Genomic DNA, 21,615 nt, shown 5'->3' with positions numbered 1-21,615 from the left:
CTCCGTGTCACAAAGGCTGCCGGGGCAGCACGCGAGCCAGAGTCACGACAAGCCCGGGTCCCAGGCTCGCTGCTGCCTCAAATCTCATCCGGTCCCAAAGCCAGCTGCCCTGCAGAGAGGAGCCTACCGGCACCGGGCACGTCTGTGGGAGGGCGAGGCTGGGAGAAAGTGAGAGGGGGACTGCGGGCGCGCGGGGCGGGCGCGCGGCGGGTCCCGGGAGGGAAAGGACAACGGAGCCGGGGGTAGGGGGTGGACGAGGAGATGTGGCAGAGGCGCATTCCCTCTGGCTGATCTTGCCAGGGAGGAGACCTGAGGACCGGAATCGGTGACCGACAGGAGGGGGAGGGGGCTCCCGGGGGCCGCAGGTCGAGGCGCGTGAGCCGGACACGAGGTGCGCGCTGCAGGGTTGGGGAATCGGGGACGCGTGGGTCACCTGTATTGTTTGAAAAGCTGGTCCGACTCCCTGAAGCCGTTGTTGAGCAGCATGTTGATGCCGGCCAGGGCCAGCTCCGCGTCCTGCAGGGGCGCCGCCGCCGCCGCTGCCGCGTCCGAGTCTCCGTCGTCCCGCCGCCGCGGCCGCTGCTGCTCCGAGCCGGCCATGGGCGTGCGAGGCCCTGCGCTGGGCCGAGGCGAGATCGGGAGCAGCTGCTGCGGCCCCGCGCGCGCCCGGAGCCCGGCTCTACCTGCCCGGAGCCAAGCGGAGCCGGGAGGGGAGGGGAGGGGAGGGGAGAAGACGGGAGGGAAGAGGAGGGAAGGACCGCGGAGGGAGGAGCCGCGGCCCGGCTGCGGCGCGGCGTGGGAGGTGGGCGTCCGGCCGCCGCCGCGGGGATTACTCAGCAGCACCCGCCCGCTCCTCTCGCGCCCTCCGAAGCACCCAACTCGCGCGGGCCCCGAAGCGGAATCCGTTTCCGGGTGTCTCTCACCCCGCCAAGCCGGTCCCCGAGCGGCGGCCGCCTCCACTTCCTGCAGCCCCCGCGCCCCGGCCCCTCCCGGGTCCCCAAGCCGCGCCTTCGCCCACCGCCCAGGACTGCTCGGACACACGCACGCGAGACCCGGAGACCCGAGCGCCCCACCCTCCCCCGAAGGGGCCGGACCCAGGAGTCGGGAGGAGGGCAAGGCGCGGAGGGAGAACGAGCGTGCGGATGTGGAAGGAAAGGGAAAGGGAAGGGGAACTCCGCCCGGGCCGCTATGCTAGCGCGCGGCGCTTTGTCCACGAGTAACTGAAACTCCACGAGTAACTGAAACCCCACGCAGCCCGCGCCCGCGACCCCAGACTTCATCCCGACCCTGGGGCCGCCCCCTAGGACCAGGGCAGCCAATTCCCGAGGAGGTGGGCGGCGGGGGCGGGGTCTCTGGCACCTGCCCCGCAGCTCCCCGGAGCCCCGCGCTGCGGGACTGCAAGGCAGAGCCCCTCGGATCCCGGTACCACCCACTCCAGCCCGCCACCAACATTTGCGCAGTGGGGCAGGAGGAGAAATGGAGGCCTATATGCCATGTGCCCAAATATTTAAAAGTTATAAATTCAGCTGCCAAAGTGTGTTCTATTCTCACACTGCCAATTATTCTTGCAAAGCTTTGGCGTTCATATGACCAAATGTCAGCAAAACATCAAAAGTGACTGAATTTAACCATTATCACAGAAGTCTCACTGTTCTGATGATGGGCTGGTGATATCTGGATGCCTAATATTCTAGAGACAAGCAATTCATAAATCATCTTTATGTTTTTTCCACAAATTTATTTTTCTCTAATTTAGCAAAATCCCTTAATGTAGTGTTGCAATCAAGATTATGCTCTAATGCCAAATTGGACAACCTTCCTTGAGTCGCTGTCGTTTTTAGAGTGTAGTTTATTAATTTCAACTTGAAGAAACTTTGCTGAAACATTTATAACAGAATTTTTTTTAAATGAAAGCAATCCTCAGGTTTAGAAATAACTCCTGAATTTTAAACATTATGTCATCCATTATCATGGGACCAATATAATAAGTTATTACAGAAAAATGCAAAATAATTTTGTCATGTAAGTTGCTTTTACTTATTTTGTAAATTGTACCATCCCTTATAAGAATATCTAAATCCATACAGGATTTTCAACTTTTATAAATAGAAATTTTAGAGTAATAAGAATTACTGCCACTCCTTAAGTGTCATGTGTAACTGTTGCAAAGCCATGCTAATTCTTGAGTACATCTGGAACCACAAACTGGAACACTGACAGAAGCAAGAAAATGGACGATTCACATCCTTGGGAAACAGTACGTTGTAATGCAGGAGTCACTGCATTCATGCTGTCTGAGAAGAAGGATTTGACAAGCTGACCTTTAAAAGAAAATCTAGGTTTTCTTGGATTTAACATAATGTTAGTCTCAAACATCAGCAGTGTCACCATCCTTCATGGCACTGAGAGGCTGTAACCTTTTGTTTTTAGGGCACTGAGCTAAAGATGAGAAGAAGCGTTCCCTGGAGCCTGCATGGCATCAATCATGAGAATGGATGTTGAGGGTTATGCACCCCACTGAGGCAGCACTGAATGCCAGATCCCAAGTTACAGAGGTGCTTGTATGTTTTTAAATAAATTTATGCGTGTGTGTGTGTGTGTGTGTGTGTGTGTGTGTGTGTTTTGATGGGCAGGGCCCTCAAACGCAGGTCTTAGGGACTGTACTGCTCATTGAGGCCCACATGAGGCCATTGGCATGGAGGGCTCCCCTGGCCACACACTGCCCGAGGTCACCCTGACAACATGCACTTACAGGCTGCTGGAACTTTGGATCTGTGGAACCATTTGCCCAGATCCCTGAAGCAGTCTAGTCAATAAGGGAGAGAAGCCAAGAGCAAAATATCAGACATAGGAGATAGCCTGCAGTCCCCCAACTGAGAAAGACAGCCAAGCACAGTCCTGTATGTCCCTATTACTGGGAAGAAAAAACAAGAATTTCAAGGAATTGATGACACTATGTTTATGAGTTATACTTGAGGCCCTGCAGCTGAGGATGTGGGGAGGGGTGAGCAAAGTCAGAGCACTCTTTGTGGGGCTAGTTCTGTCTCAAGAACCTCACACAGTCCGTTGTGCAGACAGGGAAATTTAATTGTTGAACAATTAAGGCAAGGACCACTGCAACCGCCCAGCACCCCACAATAGGCAGGGGAGGGGTGGCGTGGATAGAGGGATAACTCTACCATGTAATACACACCAGATATGTGCAAAATTGGATTTAACCAGGTACCAAAACAGTTACATTAGCATCATCATCATGAAGGGACATTTTAAAATATTTGCCCGTGGTGAGGGATACAAAAAGAGCCTCCAAATCCTGAAGGAAGAGAACACGTGGACTAGTAATACTTGTGGCAGCTGTAGTTGGCATTGACACCTGCCCCGGATTCACATTGCAAGGGAGAGTTAAGGCTGTGTTTTCTCCACTCGATAAAAATGTCAGGTTATAAAGGCAGATAGTGATATCTAAGAAGTCATGGTGCAAATTACCTACAAAAGGAAGGAAAATCTAGATTCCTAACACTCCAGGACACCATATACTTGACACTGTGAGATTCTCAGCACCTTCCTGCAAAACTAATGCAGTCTTCAGTGCACTTGACTTCAGCCAAATAGGATTTATCCGAGTGTTTCCTTTGGAAGTTGAGAGACAGAGAGAGTGGAAAAAAGGGAGAAAAAAAGAGAAAAAGAAAAGCCAGCGAGTGGTGGAAATAACCCACTTCCTTTCTGCAGTGGGTGTTGCCAGTATTTTGTGGTTCTTCATTTGATTTCACTGTGAAAATGAAACTTTAATTTCAAATGATCAGTAAAAGAAGGTAGATTTTAAAAAATAAGGTGTTGTGGTTGCAAATGACAGAAAAACCTGACCCAAACTGGCTCAGCAAAGCAAACATATTGATTGGTGTAGAGAAGTTTTACAAAATGAGGCTGTATCCCTGGCTTCAACACTAACCAGGACCCAGTTTCTCCTCTTGACCTCTTAGCTTTGCCACTTTGGTGTTTATTGGCTCTATTCTCAGACAGGGCCGCCTCTCCTGGTCCCAAAAGGTTTTTGGAAGCTCCCAGAGCTACATGCTTGCTGGCTACATCCAGCGGGAAGGCATTGCTTCTCTAACAGCTTAACTGAAATCCCCTAATTAAATCTCACTGGCTTTAATTGGCAAGATTGTAGTCAGGTGCCCATCTTTGCACCAATTAATGTGAGTAGGAGGGGCAGATCATGCTAATTGGATTATGCCAGTCAGGGTCTGCTCCAGGACCTGGATGGGTAGAACCTATTTCACCCAAACTACCTGGCTGGGAAATCCCAGATCTGTTAGGAAAAGAGAGGTAGGGAATGGATGTGAGAGCGACAATCAACAAACATACCCTACCCTTGTCTTCCTGAACATGTTTTGAATTTTTGGAATTACATTCGGTTTTTTTCTTGAGACAGGGTCTCACTCTTTACCCAGGCTGGAATGCAGGGGCGAGATCATGGCTCAATGCAGCCTTCACCTCCCAGGCTCAAGTGATCCCCCTACCTCAGCCTCCTGAGTAGCTGGAACTACAGGCACATGTCACCACACCCAGCTAATTTTCGTATGTTTTGTAGAGATAGGGTTTCGCTGTGTTGTCCAAGCTGGTCTCAAACTCCTGAGCTCAGGTGATCCGCCCACCTCGGCCTCTTAGAGTGCTGGGATTACAGGCATGAGCCACCCATGCCTGGCCTGGAATTATACTTTAAATGCATTCGAAGAATAAAGTACCACAAGAAAACCTTACTGTGTGTACTTTGGTTGTATTACATTTTTCAGTGATGCTAACAGTCATGCCTTTGTGCATCTTTTTGTAAATCCATATTATCCATCAAAATAAATACAGGTTCCCAAAATGTTTGGAATTCTAAGAAGGAGGAGAGTAGGGAAATTAATATCACTATTTTTATGTTGTGCTAGCTTTACCCATTCAGCTCTTCTACTGAAGGTGAAGTAAGATTTAATTAACTACCTTTAACTAGAAGGCAAATCAGGTCAAGGGTTGCTATGTAAAACCTATTAAATTGTTTAGCCTAAAGCTGCCTTCTTACGTATTTTAGCCTAAAGATTTCTCCGTACATAGTGAACTGTAGCCTAACTGGATGCATAAACAGACTGTAACAAACTCTTGTAACAAGTAGCGGAGTTTCAGCCAATCACAGCAGCCAACTGTTCAAACCGTAGCCAAATAAGGCAGACCCCGAGCTGTAAACAACCTGACTGTTTCTGTATCTCACTTCTGTTTTCTTTATGTCACTTACTTTCTTCTGTCCATAAATCCTCTCTGACGCATGACAGCGCCAGTTGCTCTGAATCTATTCTGATGGTGGAGTTGCCCAATTCTCCAATTGTTCTTTGTTCAATTAAACTCTGTTAATTTATCTAAAGTCTTTCTTTTAACAAACCATACAGCAAGTTCCTTCCTTTTCTGCTCATAGGTGGATCACTAACTTGCCTCTAAGGAAGGGAACATAGTTGTGGACCAGTGAGGTTCACCTGGCTGTTTTTGCAGTTGGATGTGTGTCTCTGAGAGGACACTCATGGCTGCCCTGGGAAACCACAGCAGTTACCATGGGCCAGGAAACCATCCCCCTTTGGGTTGGACGCCTCCTCACCTGCCTTTTCATAAACCACATAGCCACTGGAGTGCAGTAATGGTTTAGGCAGGTGTTTACTAGAGATCATTGTTCTGCTGCTGTAGAGAGTCAGGGACAAAACTGGGGAAGAAGGCATTGTCTCTCCTCCACCGCTTTCCTCCCCTGGGAAGCTTAAGCAGTGATCTCTCCTGCACTAGCCCTTGACTGGGGTGTGTCTTTGAGTGTGACTGCAGGTCTTCTGTTGGTCTTCAGATAGTTTCATTCTCTCTCCCCATTATGCCTCCCTTCCCTTTAACCCATCTCCTTCCTTTTCATTGATAGTCCCTGTTCCCTGGATCTACCATCCCTCCCTCTTCCTTAGAGATAATCAAGTTTTCCTCTCCTTTGGTCCCTCCTCATGACTTGCACATTTTGCAGCCTTGGGTGAATGTCCATTACTTCTCTTGTCTGTCTACTGACTTGTTCTGCAGAGGGAGAGGCCGTCTCTGGTTTCAAGACATGTGTCTACTGAGTCCCTGGAGAGGAAAGTAGATGAGTTCCAGTCCCATGGATAAGGGAAGTGTTAAATGGTAGCAGGTTCTATTCAGTGCCCTGGTGGGTTTTCTCTGGATTGTTTAACAGCAAAAAAAATCTTTCCACTAGAATTTTTTAAACTGGTATTTTAGGTTTGGAGGTACATGTCCAGGTTTGTTATAGAGGTAAACTCATGTCACAGGGGTTTGTTGTACAGATTATTTCATCACCCAGGTTCTAAGCCCAGTGACCAATAGTTATTTTTTATGATCCTCTCCTTTTTCCCAGCCTCTACCCTCAAGCAGACCCTGGCGTCTGTGGTTCCCCTCTTTGTGTCCATATGTTCTCATCATTTAGCTCTCACTTATAAGTGAGAACATGTGGTGTTTGGTTTTCTGCTCCTGTGTGAGTTTGCTAAGGATGATGTCCTCCAGCTCCATCCATGTCCCTGCAAAGGACATGATCTTATTCTTTTTTATGGTTGTGTGGTATTCCACGGTATATATGTGCCACATTTTCTTTATGTCATCTACAGTTGATGGGCATTTAGTTTGATTGCATGTCTTTGTTACTGTGAATAGTGCTGCAGTTGAATTATGTGTCTTTACGAAGACATGTGTACATGCGTCTTTATGACAGAACGATTTGTATTTCCCTGGTTATATACCCAATAATGGGAATGCTGGGTCGAATAGGAATTCTGTTTTTAGCTCTTTGAGGAATGGCCACACTGCGTTCCACAATGGTTGGACTAATTTACACTCCAACCAACAGTGGCACTATGACTAATTTCTATCTGGATTCCCCATTGTTATCTAAACAAGAAAGGTACTTTCCTTCTATTCACGTAACTTTACCTTGTTTCCTACTAAAAATCCTGGGCTTATGCTAAGGTAGTATTAATCTTTTCCTGCATAAACAGAAGGCAAATGGCATGTCCGAGCTCTTCTCTCCAATCAGTAGGCTTCTCCCCTGACTGCAGGAGGAAGAAGGAGATACCTTTTGGTTCATCTAACAAAGTATATGAATCTATTTTGGGTGGAAGCAGCAGCAGTATTGGCATTTGCTTCTCAGAGTGGATTTGTTTCCAAATCTTAAAGTGTAGTCAGATTCCCTCGGACATTCGAGAGCATGCAGTAGGTGTTCATGACCTGTTTGTAAGTTGAATGGTGAGGGTGAGCTACAGAGGGGATGAGTTGGACTCAGAGGGGAAAGGAGATTAGGCCAGGAGTCTAAATCGTGGGTTATGACTCTGGTCCTGCAATGCACTGACTTTGTGATTTGGGGCAATTTTACTTCATCTCTTTCAGCCTCAATTTCCCCATTTATAATATGAAGATAATCAGTACCTTCAAGGCAAGTAAATGAGATAGTGGGCACGTGAACATGCTTTGTTAATCTGTAATACCAAGATATTATTAGAACCTATACAATTTATTTTCAGATATTAAAGTCAGTGTGTCCTTCTGTTCACATATTTACTTGTCAACAGTATCTTGAAATTCCCAGCTAAAATAAAGTCTGTGCAATTAAATAACTAGTTGCATCATATAGAGATGATTAATTTAAACTGTTTCGAATATAAACAATACATGTTCACTATTGTTAATGCAGCATGAGGAAGAAGTACAGATTTTCTTCAGAATGTATAAAAATATAAAATAGTCTGGGTGAGGTGGCTCATGCCTGTAATCCCAGCACTTTGGGAGGCCGAGGTGGGTGGATCACCTGAGGTCAGAAGTTCCAGACCAGCCTGGCAAACATGGTGAAACCCTGTCTCTACTAAAAATACAAAAACTAGCCAGGCCTGGTGGCACCCATCTGTAATCCCAGTTTATCAGGAGGCTGAGGCAGGAGAATCGCTTGAACCCAGGAGGCAGAAGTTGCAGCGAGCCGAGATCATGCCACTGCACTCCAGCCTGGGCAACAGAGTGAGATTCCATCTCCAAAAATAAATAAATAAAGATAGTAAAAATATCTACATTTTAGAGTTCTTCATTTGGACCTGAATTATTTCTGCTTTAATAATCCCTAAGTATTATTTTGGACAAAGAAATAGATAATATTTGGTATGAAGAGTTTTAAAATGCACCTCTATGTTCTGTGTGTCCAACATGTTTTGCAGTCAGCTCTTGTTTACAAGGACATATGCATTGCTAATATAAAATAATTCCTTGTTGGTAAGTCACTTATGTTTTGCTCTGGGGTTACTTAGCAATCCGTGTGTCTCAACCCAGAACTCTGTGCCACGGAATTCCCCTAAAGTAACTTAAGGAACCTGTTGAAGAAAAAGTTTTCTATCTGCAAGTAATTCATAACAGGTATCTCCTTTATGCACAGCCTAGAGCTCATGAGCCTGATACTCTGGTTTTTCGTAGTATACTCACTGGGTGCTCCGACTGTGTCAGCAACAGGGGTAAGTGCTGGCAATATTTAGGCAAATATGACAAGGCCCCTGCCCTAGAGAAGCTCATCCTGATGAGACACGTAGCCAGATACACATTCATAGCACAATATGGTAAGTGTCATAGTAGACCTTGGTGCCAAGTTTGTCAGAATCCATTTATTCCTGGACTGATTTAACACTATCTCCCTAGATGATTATAACAAACTTATATCTTATGCATTGATAATTACTGATGTTTTTATTAATTTGTTCATTCTTTACACCTTTAGAGTTCAGATATGGGCCACAGTAGATCGCCTGTCTCACTAATTTACAGTTAATCCTTGGTTTTTTGATCGCCGTCTCCCCCCCACCCGCCCCCGCCCCGATAGCATTAACCAGTTTGTATTCCTCTGCTGGTCAATGAAGACAGATAATCACTGTTTTTGATTACTTTCACGTCCATCTTCAAAAGATGATCTACCCCAACCGAAGATACTTAAAACGATGTGAACAAATTTTTGAAGACAATTGCAGGAGGTAAATTAGAAAGATGAAAATAATACCTTAAAGAAAGCATCTGTAGTCTCCTAAGGTATGTAAAGGAGAAAATAACTGCTACAGTGTATAATATTGTTTATTTGTTTTTAAAAATTTGGGCTGAGCATGGTGGCTAATGCCTACACTTTGGGAGGCCACGGTGGGTGGATCACTTGAGCTCAGGAGTTTGAGACCAGCCTGAGCAACATAGCAAAACCCCAACTCTATAAAAAATACAAAAATTAGCTGGACGTGATGGTATACACCTGTAGTCCCAGCTCCTTGGGAGACTAAGGTGGGAGGATGGCTTGAGCCTAGGAGGTTGAGGCTGCAGTGAGCCATGATCGTGCCACTGTACTCCAGCCTGGGTGACAGAGCAAGACCCTGTCTCAAAAAAAAAAAAAAATATTCTGTAGGATAAGCTCACTTACCCTAAGGAAGGCACACACATACATTCTAAAAACTAATCTTGAAAATGTTCTAAATTAGATAGTGGTGATTGGTTGCATAACTCTGTAAATACACTGAAAACCACTGACTTGTATTTAGTTATTGGGTTTTTTGTTTTTTTTTTTTTGAGACAGGGTCTCACTCAGTCGGCCATGCTGGAGTACAGTGGTGCAATCATAGCTTATTGCAGCTTCAAACTCTTAGATTCAAGCCGTCCTCCAACCTTAGCCTCCTGACTGCAGGCTACACATCACTGCAGCTAATTTTTATTTTTAATTTTTTTTTTTTTTTAGAGACAGGGTCTCGCTTTGTTGCCCAGGCTGGTCTTAAACTCCTGGCCTCAAGAGATGCTCCCACTTCAGCCTCCCAAAGTATTGGGATTACCGGCATAAGCCTCCTTGCCTGGCCAGATTGTATACTTTAAATGGTGACTTTTGTGTATATAAATTATATGTCAATAAAGCTGTTAATTGAAAAAGAATTTTAATCATTTTAAACCACAGGGTGCAGAGCAGTGGGAGAAGGGAGTTAATGGCTTGAATCCTGTGCTTTTATATACCTGGGGCAAAAAAAATATTTTATTATGAAAAAAAATCTTATCTTTGAAGAGTGTCCAAAAATCTAGAATGACTGCTGGCTAGCATCACTACGTGCTGGGTGCTGGGTTAAGACTTTACAAATGTTGTTCCATTTAATTCTCAAAGTAACTCTGTAAGGTGGGCTTTATCCCAAGTTTAAAGATGTGAGGAGAAAGACAAGTTTAATAACTTTCCCAAGGCCATGAAGCAGGTAATGGTTACAGTGAGGTTTAAACATAGATCTCATTGCCCACAGTGGTTCAGTCTTAGTTGTTAACTTAAAATCTAGTACCTTCTGGAAACCTGACTGAGGGCATTCACACACACGCTTATGAATTTCATGGCATTAGTTCTTCCTGAAAGTCGTACCATTCCTTAGTTAGAAGGCATTTTGAAGGCATGAAAATACATTATCTCATATATGATCTAATTCAGCAAAATTAGGGTGCAGCCCAGGCATCTGCATTTTAGCAATAACCTCAGGTGAGTCTAATGTCAGCACATTTCAGAGCCCCTTATGAGAAAGAGTTGTCCAGATGGTAACTCCCAGAAAGCAGTGTGGCTATTCATCTTTGTGTACATTGCCTGATTTGTTACCCTTAGTATATGTTTGAGAAATATTGCACGAAAAATGAGTGAAAGCACAGTGGAATGCATGATTTTCATGGTAAATCATGCTCACATCCTTGCCTAGGAACAGTTGTATTATTATATTAAACTCAGAATAAAGGTGCATATTTTAACCTTAAAAACAAGAGCATTTCATGTGATGACTTTAAAAAATTCCATGTAGCAGCAATGTATACATCTGGAGTTGAAAGAAACACCACACAAGGGTAACCAGGTCAGAAGGAGACACGCCCACACTAAGGATGGAAGGAGGATGTGGACACTAAGAAATCACTTAATTCCTAACTCTTGACATTTATTTTTAAATGTGGTTATAAAAGAAGACTCAGAACATTTGGCTGTGTCATGGCTAAAAATACACATTTTTTCACTTCTCCTCACTCTCTTCACCCTACCACCTCCTCTGAGACAAAAACAGTAAAAACAAGGATATACTGTGAGATGATAAAGAGAAAATGAGAATGCTGCTGTCTATACCCACAGATAGGGAACTGGATGCTTAGATGCCACAGGGACTCATTTCTTCCTTCCCAAATCCAGGCCAAAGAACAACAGCTGGCTGGGCTCAGGAGCAATCTTACTTCCCTTACTGCTCCAGAAAGGTAACCACCTCTAGTAGCCTTGTTCCTCACTTCTGCCTCTGGAGTGGTGTTTGCCTCTGCACTGTGCTTGCTTGGGGAACTAAAATGGCCTTGTGTAAATAAAAAATGCTGGGTGTGGTGTGGTGGCTCACCCCTGTAATCCCAGTGCTCCGAGAGTCCAAGGCAGGGAGGATTGCTTGAGGCCAGGAGTTGGAGACTAGCCTGGGCAACATAGTGAGATCCTCATCTTTAGAAAAATTTTAAAAGCCTAGCCAGGTGTGGTGGTAGGCCCCTGTTGTTCTAGCTACTTGGGAAGCTAAGGCAAGAGGATCACTCAAGCCCAAAAGTTTGAGGCTGCAGTGAGGTATGATTGTATCACTGTACTCCAATCTGGGTGACAGAGTGAGACCTTGTCTCTTAAGAAAAGAAAAGCATTCATTTTTCATTTTGTTTTCCTCTGTTCAACTAAGTAACTCAAGCCATTTAAAAAAGTATTTGTCTTTAGAGAGCTTTTTTTTTTCATACAAGGGCCATAAAAATAGTCATAGGCACACCAGTGGTTCACTCAAAGAATGATAGATTCTGTAAACTGCAGGTTATCCCAGACGTCATCCAATATGACTTATGATTCATCAGAAACACCATCATATTTGACCTACGACAAGGACCAGTTCAGTTCAACAGGATCTTTTTTGAGGACCTACTATGTGCCAGCCACTGTATGCTAGCTGCTGTGGAAGACATAATTGAATAAAATACAACCCCTGAACCTGAGAATCTTCTAGTCTAGTGGGTGAGACAGACACACTGACAGATCTTTTAATGTAAGATGGTCATAAGATAGAGTTATACGCTGTGTGCTTTGGGAGCACAGAATAGGGGCATTAGTCCAGCTGGGGGTTCATGGAAGGCTTCCTGTGAGGGGTTTGATGACTGAGCTGACTCTGGACAAAAGAGGTAGGAAGTGGATTCCAGGCAGAGGAGCAATGGCATGGACAGGTGAGACTGCAGAAATCCTCAAACAGTGCAGTTGTTCTAGAGTATAGAGAGTGAGGCAGGAAGTGGCCAGAGACGAGGCAGGAGAGGTGGTCAGCCCTCAGGCACAAGGGCTCTCTGTGCCTTACCTGGAGCCTCTAGGCAAAGAGGAGCCAACGAGAACTTAGGACAGGGGAATGACATGGTCAGATTTGTGGGCAGATGGAAGATTTAATATGGATTTAAATTAATATGAATTTTAATTGAGTGTATAGACTAGAGACTTATGGAAGGCAATTGCAGAAGACCAGAGCACTTGTAAGTCCCACTGTGTGTGAAATTGTTAGTTCTCTTTCTGTTGCAAGTGACCAAACCCAGTGCAAACAGGCTTCAGTGGAAAAGGTACAGCCTGAGGGTGGATCTCAGGCATCTGCAGGGCTGGATACATACGTTCACTCAGTGACACCACGATTCTGCTTTTTTCTACAGTTTGGTTTTTTTCTCTCCTGCAGAGGGAGAGCAAGTTCTTCATTTTGTAGAACTGTCCTGCACATTGCAAGAGTCTAGCATTCCTGTCTCACAATGCCAAAAGCACCCCCCAAGCATTAGAACAACACAGAAATCCCCACACATTAAAAAAGGAAAAGATCCTGAGCACAGTACTAGCTCCCATCTTGCACGATCACTCTGGGCATTCAAGACTCCTCTTTGCCAAACTTCAGTTTTTTCCAACACCACCTGCCCTTAAAACATTAAATGGCTGCTGGTCAATTTGGTCTCCATTGACTCTGTGAGCAAGTAACCATCACTAGAGATCTCATCAAGTTAGAGTCTTTAAATCTGGATCCCACCCCACTTCTTTTAGTTGCTCTTTCCTCTTGGCATTGGTCTCCATGCTTGCCCATTTGTAGAGGAAGAGAGACCATCTCCCTCCAGTTTTCTAGATCCCCATTGGCAAGGATGATTCTGATGGTGCTGCTTGTGTCACCTGGGAATCCTAGAGCCAATCACTGGAGGATAGGATACTCTGATTGGCCACCCTGGGTCCTATGGGAAGGCACCAAGGAGGCTGACAGCCCCACAAGACCACACACAATGGGTGAGAAGTTGTCCAAAAAAAGACATGTGCGCAAACAACTTATGTCTGCCTCAGGGGATAAGTAAGCAACGACAAAACAGAATTACCCCCCGTCTCTACTAAAAATACAAAAAAAATTAGCCGGGCGTGGTGGCGGGCGCCTGTAGTCCCAGCTACTCGGGAGGCTGAGGCAGGAGAATGGCGTGAACCCGGGAGGCGGAGCTTGCAGTGAGCCGAGATTGCGCCACTGCACTCCCGCCTGGGCCACAGAGCGAGACTCCGTCTCAAAAAAAAAAAAAAAAAAAACAGAATTACCGTACACCTCACCCTCCCATGTTGCATTCTGTGGTTAATAAATTTAAAACCCCAAACTTCCTCTTACCTATTCCAATTTTCATGAACTTGGAAAATGACCTAGTTGAGTAGAACCCAAGAGTAATGCAGCAACACTTTGTGAAATGTTTACTTAGGACACCGATGGGAGGATGTGGTGGTGATGGAGGCAGAGCTGTGAAGAACTGAGAGGCTATTAGAAAACCGCGGTGGAACAGTGGCTGGGGAAAAGGTAAGAAAGTCAAGGGAAAGGGACAGTTGGCCTAATGGAAGAACATCAGTAAAGCAAAGACTCAAGGGGGAAGACAGAGGAGAGAAAGGAGATGGGAGAGACAGTGAAACTTTATACCAGACCAACCAGAAGGGTTGGTTTATCCCAGGAAAAATGAGAGAGCGAATATCTAGAATCAAGGAAGAGGTTAATTGATTAATTCCTAATATTTTTCACGGACCTTGGCTTAGGACATGAATCCAGTGACCTGAGGTCAGCAGTTTCTATCTGAACCCAAGCCAGGTTGACCTGGGGCCTGGGCAGGTAAGAACCCTGCTTTTCCAGATATTAAGTCTAACAGGAACACAGATAGAAGTAGACTAGAGCAGACCAGTGACCAAGATGAGGCTGGTAGAGGAACCTCTTGACTATCCAGAAGACCCCAAGCTGGCTTTCATGTGTTAAACTTCAGACAGGATAATCGAGTGAAGGCAAGGCAGCTGTGTAAAGGTTTAGCTCCAAATTTTCTTACATTTTACATAGGTTCTAGAATGACAGAATCTCAAAATTGGGTGGACACAGAAGCCATTGGATCAGAGATCTCAGATCTCTGATCCAACTCTGGGGAGGTCTGTTGACCTTGATCAAGTTGCTTAACATCTCTCAGCTTTGGTTTCGTTATTAATAAACACAAGTAACGACAGTCTCTGTTTACTTCACGAGATTACTGGGATAACCAGGTGACAGGACCCACACAATTTGGGGGGCCCTGTGCAAAATGAAAATGTGGGGTCCCTGGTTTAAAAAATCATGAAGAATTTTAAGATGACAACAGCAGGGCATTGAACCAAGTGCTGGGTGCTTCTGAGAACAGAGCGCTGTGTGACTGTGTGACTGCACAGGTCTCATGGCGGTGAAGACAGCCCTGCCAGGCAAGGTAATGTGCATCACAGTGCTTAGCAATCTGCAAAAGTTCAACAAATTGGTAAGGATTCTCTTTCTCTTTTCCCCCTTGGCTTCCAGGATTGTATTTGCTGGGGCTGCTATTAAAAAGTACCGTGAACTGAGTGGCTTAAACACCAGAAATTATTCTCTCACAGTTCTGGAGGACTAAAGTCCAAAATCAAGCTGTGGGCAGGGTGGGTTTCCCTGAGAGCTGCAAGTGAAGGATCTGTTCCAGGCCTCTCTCCTTGGCTGGTAGGTAGCCATCTTCTCTTTATGTCTCTTTACCTTGCCTTCCCTCTATACATTTCTCTATGTCCAATTTCTCCTTCTTATAAGGACTGCAGTTATATTGGATTAGGGCCCATGCTAATGACCTTGTTTTAATTTGATTACCTCTGTAAGACCCTATCTCCCTATAAGGGCACACTCCAAAGTGCTAGGGGTTAGGACTTCGACATAAGAATTTGGGGGTTGGGGGGAGCAGTTGACAAACATCAGAGCCCCTGTGCTCTTTGGAGGCATGCTGATGGTGTGAGGTCTCACTGGGAGGTGGTGATGTTAGGCTGTAGTAGGGAAAGTGTCCTGCCCCCATGGTAGTGGTGTTTGGGCCCCGGTTTCTGCTGCCTAGTTGGCAGCTCTCATTGCTTGCACTATAAGCCCACTCTTCAGTTTCTGAAAGCTCTCCCATGTACACCCAATAAATTCTTTTTTGGTTTAAGGAAGCTAAAGTAAGTTTTTGTGGCTTGCAAGTAAGAACCCTGACTGATACTCCGATACAACATTAGAATCAGGAAGGGAACTACTTGGACCTAAGTTTTGGGCCTCCCCACATTTGCTCAGCCCCATCTGCCTGCTGGGCCCTGGCTGCTTGCTCAGTGGGGAGCTCCAGCTTCCCAGTCTCACCTTCTCTCTGCCACTATCTGCAGATGCTGCTTCCCCACAGGGTGAGGGCTGAGAGCTGGGCTTAGGCATGGCTGCTACAATGCCCACCTTATGGGAGCCGTAGGCATTTGCAGCCCGGGCCCTAGCACAGGGCACCGGCTGTTCCCAGCACTTGCAGACTCAGATGAAGCTTCTTGCCCCCTGGCTAGGGACCTAGAAGATGGCTGCTTTGCCACTGTTTAAAAGGTAAATAGCCCAAAATGGGGGAGAGTTGAATCCACAGAGGACCCGCTTTGACCAGAGAGTCAGGAGATAAGCTCCTCTCTCTTCCTCCCCTGTGACGATTTCGAAGTGTGGTGGCTCCATATGGCCCATCCAGAGAGTCCTGCGTGGCTGTGACAGGTGTGGTTTCTGTGGCACCCTGGCCAGTTTGGTTCATATCACCCCACATTGACTCCCTTCCCCTCACCCTTCCAGCTCTGGGATAGAGCCTTATACCTTAAACTTGGCCTCAGGCTCTGATTTCTATGGAAACCCGGAAGGCTAGGAGCCTTGCAGGAAGGCTTAGGTTTCGAAGGTGGAAAGGGAAGAGAGGAAACCATTTCATCACACCCATATGTCCACAGCGCTCAACTTACCTGAGGCTCAAACACATAAACTGGCACAGACCAGAACTGTGAACAATGAAGCTGGGTATGTTACGAAAATATCAATTATGTCAGAGCCACACAGAGACCTGAGGCAGTCATCCAAGATGATTCAGGACAGAAGCTGGAAAACAAAAGGGCTTTCACCTGGCAGCTGTGTAAATGGATACCAGGGCCACATGTGTATATTTAAAGGGTGTGGCTTACTCTCCCCATAATGACAGGTTCCCGAGCAGCAGGATAAAAGGAATTTTTACCACTGTTTAGTAGTTTACCACTTGAGTGCTCCAGAGAGCTCCACCAGCTTCATGCTTACAGTTCAGACTGCAGTACTACACCAGAGAAATAATTAGATATACCACTTCTGTGCAGCATTTATTTCAGCCCACAAATTGATGATCAGTTAGGCTATTCAGGGATGTGTAAATACCTTTATAAATTCTTATAGTTTCTTTTTAAAAAATAATTTTTCTAATTTGTATTATTATTATTATATATTTTTGAGACAGAGTCTTGCTCTGTCACCCGGGCTGGAGTGCAGTGGTGCAATCTCAGCTCACTGCAACCTCCACCTCCTGGGTTCAAGCAATTCTCCTATCTCAACCTCCCAAGTAGCTGGGATTACAGGCGTGCACCATCACACTCGGCTAATTTTCATATTTTTAGAGAGATGGGGGTCTCACCATGTTGGCCAGGATGGCCTCAAGTGATCCAAATGCCTCGGCCTCTGAAAGCACTGTGATTACAGGCGTGAGCCACTGCACCTGGCCTAGTTTCTGTTTAAAATTAGGTTCCAGTAGGTCTTCTAAAAATATTTAATAATAAAAACCAGAGTTTGGGACAACTAAGGACAACAATAAGGGAGACTCCAGAAGGAAAAACAGCCTGACATCTGCTAGTCCTATGATATTGGGCAAATGACCAGGACTCTCTGAACCTCAGCTCCCTCATCTACAAAGTAGAGAATATAATAACCTCTAACTTGTTATAAGAACAAGAGGAGCTAGTGTGTGGGGAAAGCCTAGCACTAATTAGTGCTCATACATGTTAGTTATCTTTATTGATCACTACAAATTATTGCTTCTCAAGAACAGCTTGGCAGTATACAAAAACACACTATCCTGCCCCTCTCTGTTCCTCACATTTCAGAAGTAGAACACACATTTCTATGCCCCAAATTGGCTCAAGGCAACTCTTCTCTAAACCAATTTCTTTTTCTTTTTTTTTTTTTCTTTTTTCAGACGGGGTCTCACTCTGTCACCCAGGTGGGAATGCAGTGGCGCAATCACAGCTCATACACCTTAAACTCCTAGGCTCAAGCAATCTTCCTGCCTCAGTCTCCTGAGTAGCTGAAATTACAGGCACATGCCACTATGCCTGTTTTGGTTTCTTTCTTTCTTTCTTTCTTTCTTTCTTTCTTTCTTTCTTTCTTTCTTTCTTTCTTTCTTTCTTTCTTTCTCCTTCCTTCCTCCCTCCCTCTCTTTCTTTTCTTTTCTTTCCTCCCTCCCTCCTTCCCTCTTTCTTTCTTTCTTTCTCTTTTTTTTTTTTTTTTTTTTTTTTGAGACAGAGACTTGCTCTATTGCCCAGGCTGGAGTACAGTTGGGCAATCTCAGCTCACTGCAATCTCCGCCTCCTGGCTTCAAGCAGTTCTCCCTGTCTCAGCCTCCTGAGTAGCTGGGATTACAGGCGCCCACGACCACGCCCGGCTAATTTTCGTATTTTTAGTAGGGACAGGATTTTGCCATGTTGGCCAGGCTGGTCTCGAACTCCTGACCTCAGGTGACCCACCTGCCTTGGCCTCCCAAAGTGCTGGGATTACGGGCATGAGCCACTGCACCTGGCCTTTTTATTTTTCTTTTTAGAGACAGGGTCTTGCTGTGTTGCCTGGGCTGGTCTCAAACTCCTGGCCTCAGGCAATCTTCCTGCCTTGACCTCCCAAAGCACTGAGATTACAGATAGGAGCCACTGTGCCCTGCCTAAACCAATTTCTTTTTTTTCTTTTTGAGATGGAGTCTCACTCTGTCATCCAGGCTGGAGTGCAGTGGTGCGATCTCGGCTCACTGTAACCTCTGCCTCCTGGATTCAAGTGATTCTCCTGTGTCAGCCTCCCAAGTAGCTGGGACTACAGGTGTGTGCCACCATATCCAGCTAGTTTTTTGTATTTTTAGTAGAGACGGGGTTTCACTATGTTAGCCAGGATAGTTTCGATCTTCTGACCTTGTGATCCACCCACCTTGGCCTCCCAAAGTGCTGGGATTACAGGCGTGAGCCACTGTGCCCGGCCAACTGATTTCTTAATAGGAAGGCATCCACCTATGCCCTGAAGTGGAGATTGGGTCCCCAGTCTTCCTTGAGCAAGATAGGTCTCAAATTTTTGAGTGTGTGGAAATCTGCTGGGCTATGTATATAGATTTCTAGGCCTCATCCTCAAAAGTCCTGATTTAGTAGGTATGGGGCTTGGGACTGGGGAATCACCATTTTTCACACATGTGCACAGGTGCACACATGCACATACACATGCCATGATTTTAAAGCAGAAGATATTTGGGCCACATTTCCAGAAATATTCCCTGCAGGGCTCATTCCTCCAGCCTTATGATGAGTATATGCAAACAACCTGAGGTCATGGAAAGCATCTCCAGTGTTTTTCCCTTGGACTGCAGGCATGTTTAATTAGCCAGTGCCCACACTGACCTTATTTTAATATTAGCACAAGTGCAATGGCTTACATTTAGAGTGTACCTATATAAAGAAGTTATAATGACGCAGTGCTTCCCAAACTTGGCTGCATAGTAGATACACTTAGGGAAGTTTTCGATGCACTGCCCCTCTTCCATCTCTCTGGCCCATGCCCAAATCCAATTAGAAAATGGGCAAAAGATATAAAGAGACATTTTACTGAAGAGGATATACAGATGGCAAATAAACACATGAAAAGATGTTCAACATCACTCATTTTGATGGAAATGTAAACTAAACCCCAATGAAGTTCCACTACACACCTACAGAATGGCTAAAATAAAACATAGTGACAATATCAAATGTTGGCAAGAATGTGGAGAAATTGGATCTCTCCTTGCTGGTGGAGATGTAAAATGGTACAGCCACTCTGGAAAAACGTTTGGCAGTTTCTTTGAAAACTAAGCATATACTTAACATACGATCCAACAACGGCACTTCTGGCATTCATGCCAGAGAAATAAAAACTTATGTTCCCACACAAAAACTTTTCATAAATTTTTGAGACAGAGTCTTGCTCTGTCACCCAGACTTGAGTGCAGTGGTGTGACTGTGGCTCACTGCAGCCTTGACCTCCTGGGCTCAAGCGATCCTCCCACCTCAGCCTCCTGAGTAGCTGGGACTACAGGTGTATCCCACCATGCCCGGCTAACTTTTTTTTTTTTCCGGCAGAGATGGGGTTTTGCTATGGTTGCCCAGGCAGGTCACACAAAAACTTTTATACAAATGTTCATGGCAGCTTTATTTGTAATAGCCCCAAGGTGTAGTACATCTATACCAGCAATAAAAAGGAATGAACTATTGACTCATACGACCTAGATGGATCTCAGGTGCATTATGCTGAGTGAAAAAGCCAATCTCAAAAGGGTACACACTGTATGATTCCATTTATTTATTCATTTAGAGACAGAGTCTCACTCTGTCGCCCAAGCTGAAGTGCAGTGGTGCAGTCTTGGCTCACTGCAACCTCCACCTCCTGGATTCGCGTGATTTTCGTGCCTCAGCCCCCTGAGTAGCTGGGACTACAGACGCGCGCCACCACACCTGGCTAATTTTGGGGTATTTTTAGTGGAGATGGGGTTTCGACATGCTAGCCAGGCTGGTCTCAAACTCCTGACCTCAAGTGATCCACCCGTCTCGGCCTCCCAAAGTGCTAGAATTACATACATGAGCTACCACGCCTGGCCGATTCCATTTATTTAACAGTCTTGAAATGACAAAATTATCGGGATTAGTGTTTGTCAGGAGTTAGGGATAGTAGAGAGAAGGCAGGTAAGTGATACCATAAAGGCATATCTTTGTGATGAAGGAATAGTTCTGTATCATAATTGCAATGCTGATTAGACAAACCTACACACGTGATAAAGTGACAGAGAACTATACACACATTTTACCAAAGTCAATTTCATGGTGTGAGATGTAACCATTAGGAAAATCTTGTGGATTATAATTATTATTATTTTTTTTTAAAAAAAAGGAAAAGATCCTGATGTCCAGGCCACTCCCAGACCAATGAAATCAGAGTCTCTGAGGGTGGAGTTCACGCATCAGCGCGTGGCCCTGGTGATGACTAAGTGCAGCCAAGTTGCAGTTTATTATAAGGCAGTTCATAGATGCTGCTGCTGCTGCTGCTAGCATTTCATCTGCTGAGAATCACACTCAGTAGCAACAGCCGTCCAAGATACAGCCCTGCGGGGCTTTGAGTGTTAACGTTGGGTGCATAGTGATGAGGCTTTTTTAAAGCCTTGAAACGGGGCCAACTGGTAATACCTAAGGAACGTAAGTACCATTCAGTGTGTTTGTGTAAGCCCTGGCTATGAGGGGAGGGGCGAGTGGGGGAAGCACATGATGTTAAACTAGGCTAATGGGTTTAATTTTCCTTTGTTTTCCTAGATTTCCTGGCAAACAGAAAAAGCTCTCTTGGTCTTTAAAGTTCATGACAGATTCCCTAAGTGTTTGTAAAACATCTGCCAACCACACTGATGGGCTCTCACACAAAGGTTTTGGAAATACAGACTGATTTCCTTTGGTTACTAAAACTGATTTTTTTTTTTTTTTTTGGTTACTACAATTGATTTTATCTCTATAATTTTCTTCTCTGTCATCTTATTTTAAACAAAAACCGTGGCACAAAAATAAAGTGATGGTTTTTGAGGAAAACATATCTATTTGTTTTTCTTTTTGTATCTTCAGCCAAAACATCTAAGGAATAATAATGAAAATAATAGAAAATCTTTTGCACTGGGAAATTGTTTCCCTCTGTTTTTAGCCTTCATTTATTTTTTTGCCAGAGCTTCATATCTTTTCAGAGATTCATGTGCATAACAGTTTTAAATGTTTTCCAAAATGAACTTCTCCAGCTGAATCTCAGAGAAGAAAGCTTTGTTAATGGCAACAATTCATTTAAGATTAATATGAAGCTTTCTGGATGATTGTTGGTGATGTCATATGAACCATTAGGGTGGTGCAAAAGTAATTGCAGTTTTGCCATTAAAAGCAATTATTTTTGCACAAAC

The 21,615-nt window shown here is 45.0% G+C and overlaps 1 protein-coding gene and 1 long non-coding RNA gene across 9 annotated transcripts in view, besides 4 other annotated features; one reads left to right on the top strand and one right to left on the bottom strand.

The window, feature by feature from the left end:
- Window positions 1–21,615, bottom strand: part of TTC39C (tetratricopeptide repeat domain 39C) — a 142,714-nt gene that overhangs the window by 120,129 nt on the left and 970 nt on the right. For 7 of the 8 annotated variants that reach the window (XM_047437297.1, XM_047437298.1, XM_047437296.1 and 4 more), the window contains exon 1: window positions 434–718. The exons of the other annotated variant lie outside the window; for it this stretch is intronic. Coding sequence is in view for 4 of the 7 variants with exons in the window: in NM_001135993.2 (NP_001129465.1) it covers window positions 434–600 (167 nt within the window). In the remaining 3 variants the exon portion in view is untranslated. Of the gene's footprint in view, window positions 1–433; window positions 719–21,615 lie in introns of those variants that run through there. 8 annotated transcript variants of the gene reach the window in all.
- TTC39C-AS1 (TTC39C antisense RNA 1) lies at window positions 12–21,259 on the top strand. Its single transcript, NR_110796.1, has 6 exons — window positions 12–168; window positions 2,431–2,555; window positions 8,986–9,105; window positions 13,813–13,907; window positions 14,910–15,083; window positions 20,993–21,259. It is a non-coding gene; the product is annotated as a TTC39C antisense RNA 1 (long non-coding RNA).
- Window positions 302–481: a silencer, noted in NCBI's record as "silent region_9363". NCBI's record gives its function as "represses an Ori minimal core promoter by ATAC-STARR-seq in GM12878 lymphoblastoid cells {active_cell/tissue: GM12878}" and the evidence as "EXISTENCE:reporter gene assay evidence [ECO:0000049][PMID:35858748]".
- Window positions 562–1,481: a silencer, noted in NCBI's record as "silent region_9362". NCBI's record gives its function as "represses an Ori minimal core promoter by ATAC-STARR-seq in GM12878 lymphoblastoid cells {active_cell/tissue: GM12878}" and the evidence as "EXISTENCE:reporter gene assay evidence [ECO:0000049][PMID:35858748]".
- Window positions 5,343–5,472: an enhancer, noted in NCBI's record as "active region_13167". NCBI's record gives its function as "activates an Ori minimal core promoter by ATAC-STARR-seq in GM12878 lymphoblastoid cells {active_cell/tissue: GM12878}" and the evidence as "EXISTENCE:reporter gene assay evidence [ECO:0000049][PMID:35858748]".
- Window positions 20,908–20,967: a silencer, noted in NCBI's record as "silent region_9361". NCBI's record gives its function as "represses an Ori minimal core promoter by ATAC-STARR-seq in GM12878 lymphoblastoid cells {active_cell/tissue: GM12878}" and the evidence as "EXISTENCE:reporter gene assay evidence [ECO:0000049][PMID:35858748]".

Source organism: Homo sapiens, chromosome 18 (assembly GCF_000001405.40).
Source record: "Homo sapiens chromosome 18, GRCh38.p14 Primary Assembly".
NCBI lineage: Eukaryota > Metazoa > Chordata > Mammalia > Primates > Hominidae > Homo > Homo sapiens.
Note: the sequence above shows the minus strand (reverse complement) of the source record. Positions and strands in the feature narration are given on the sequence as shown.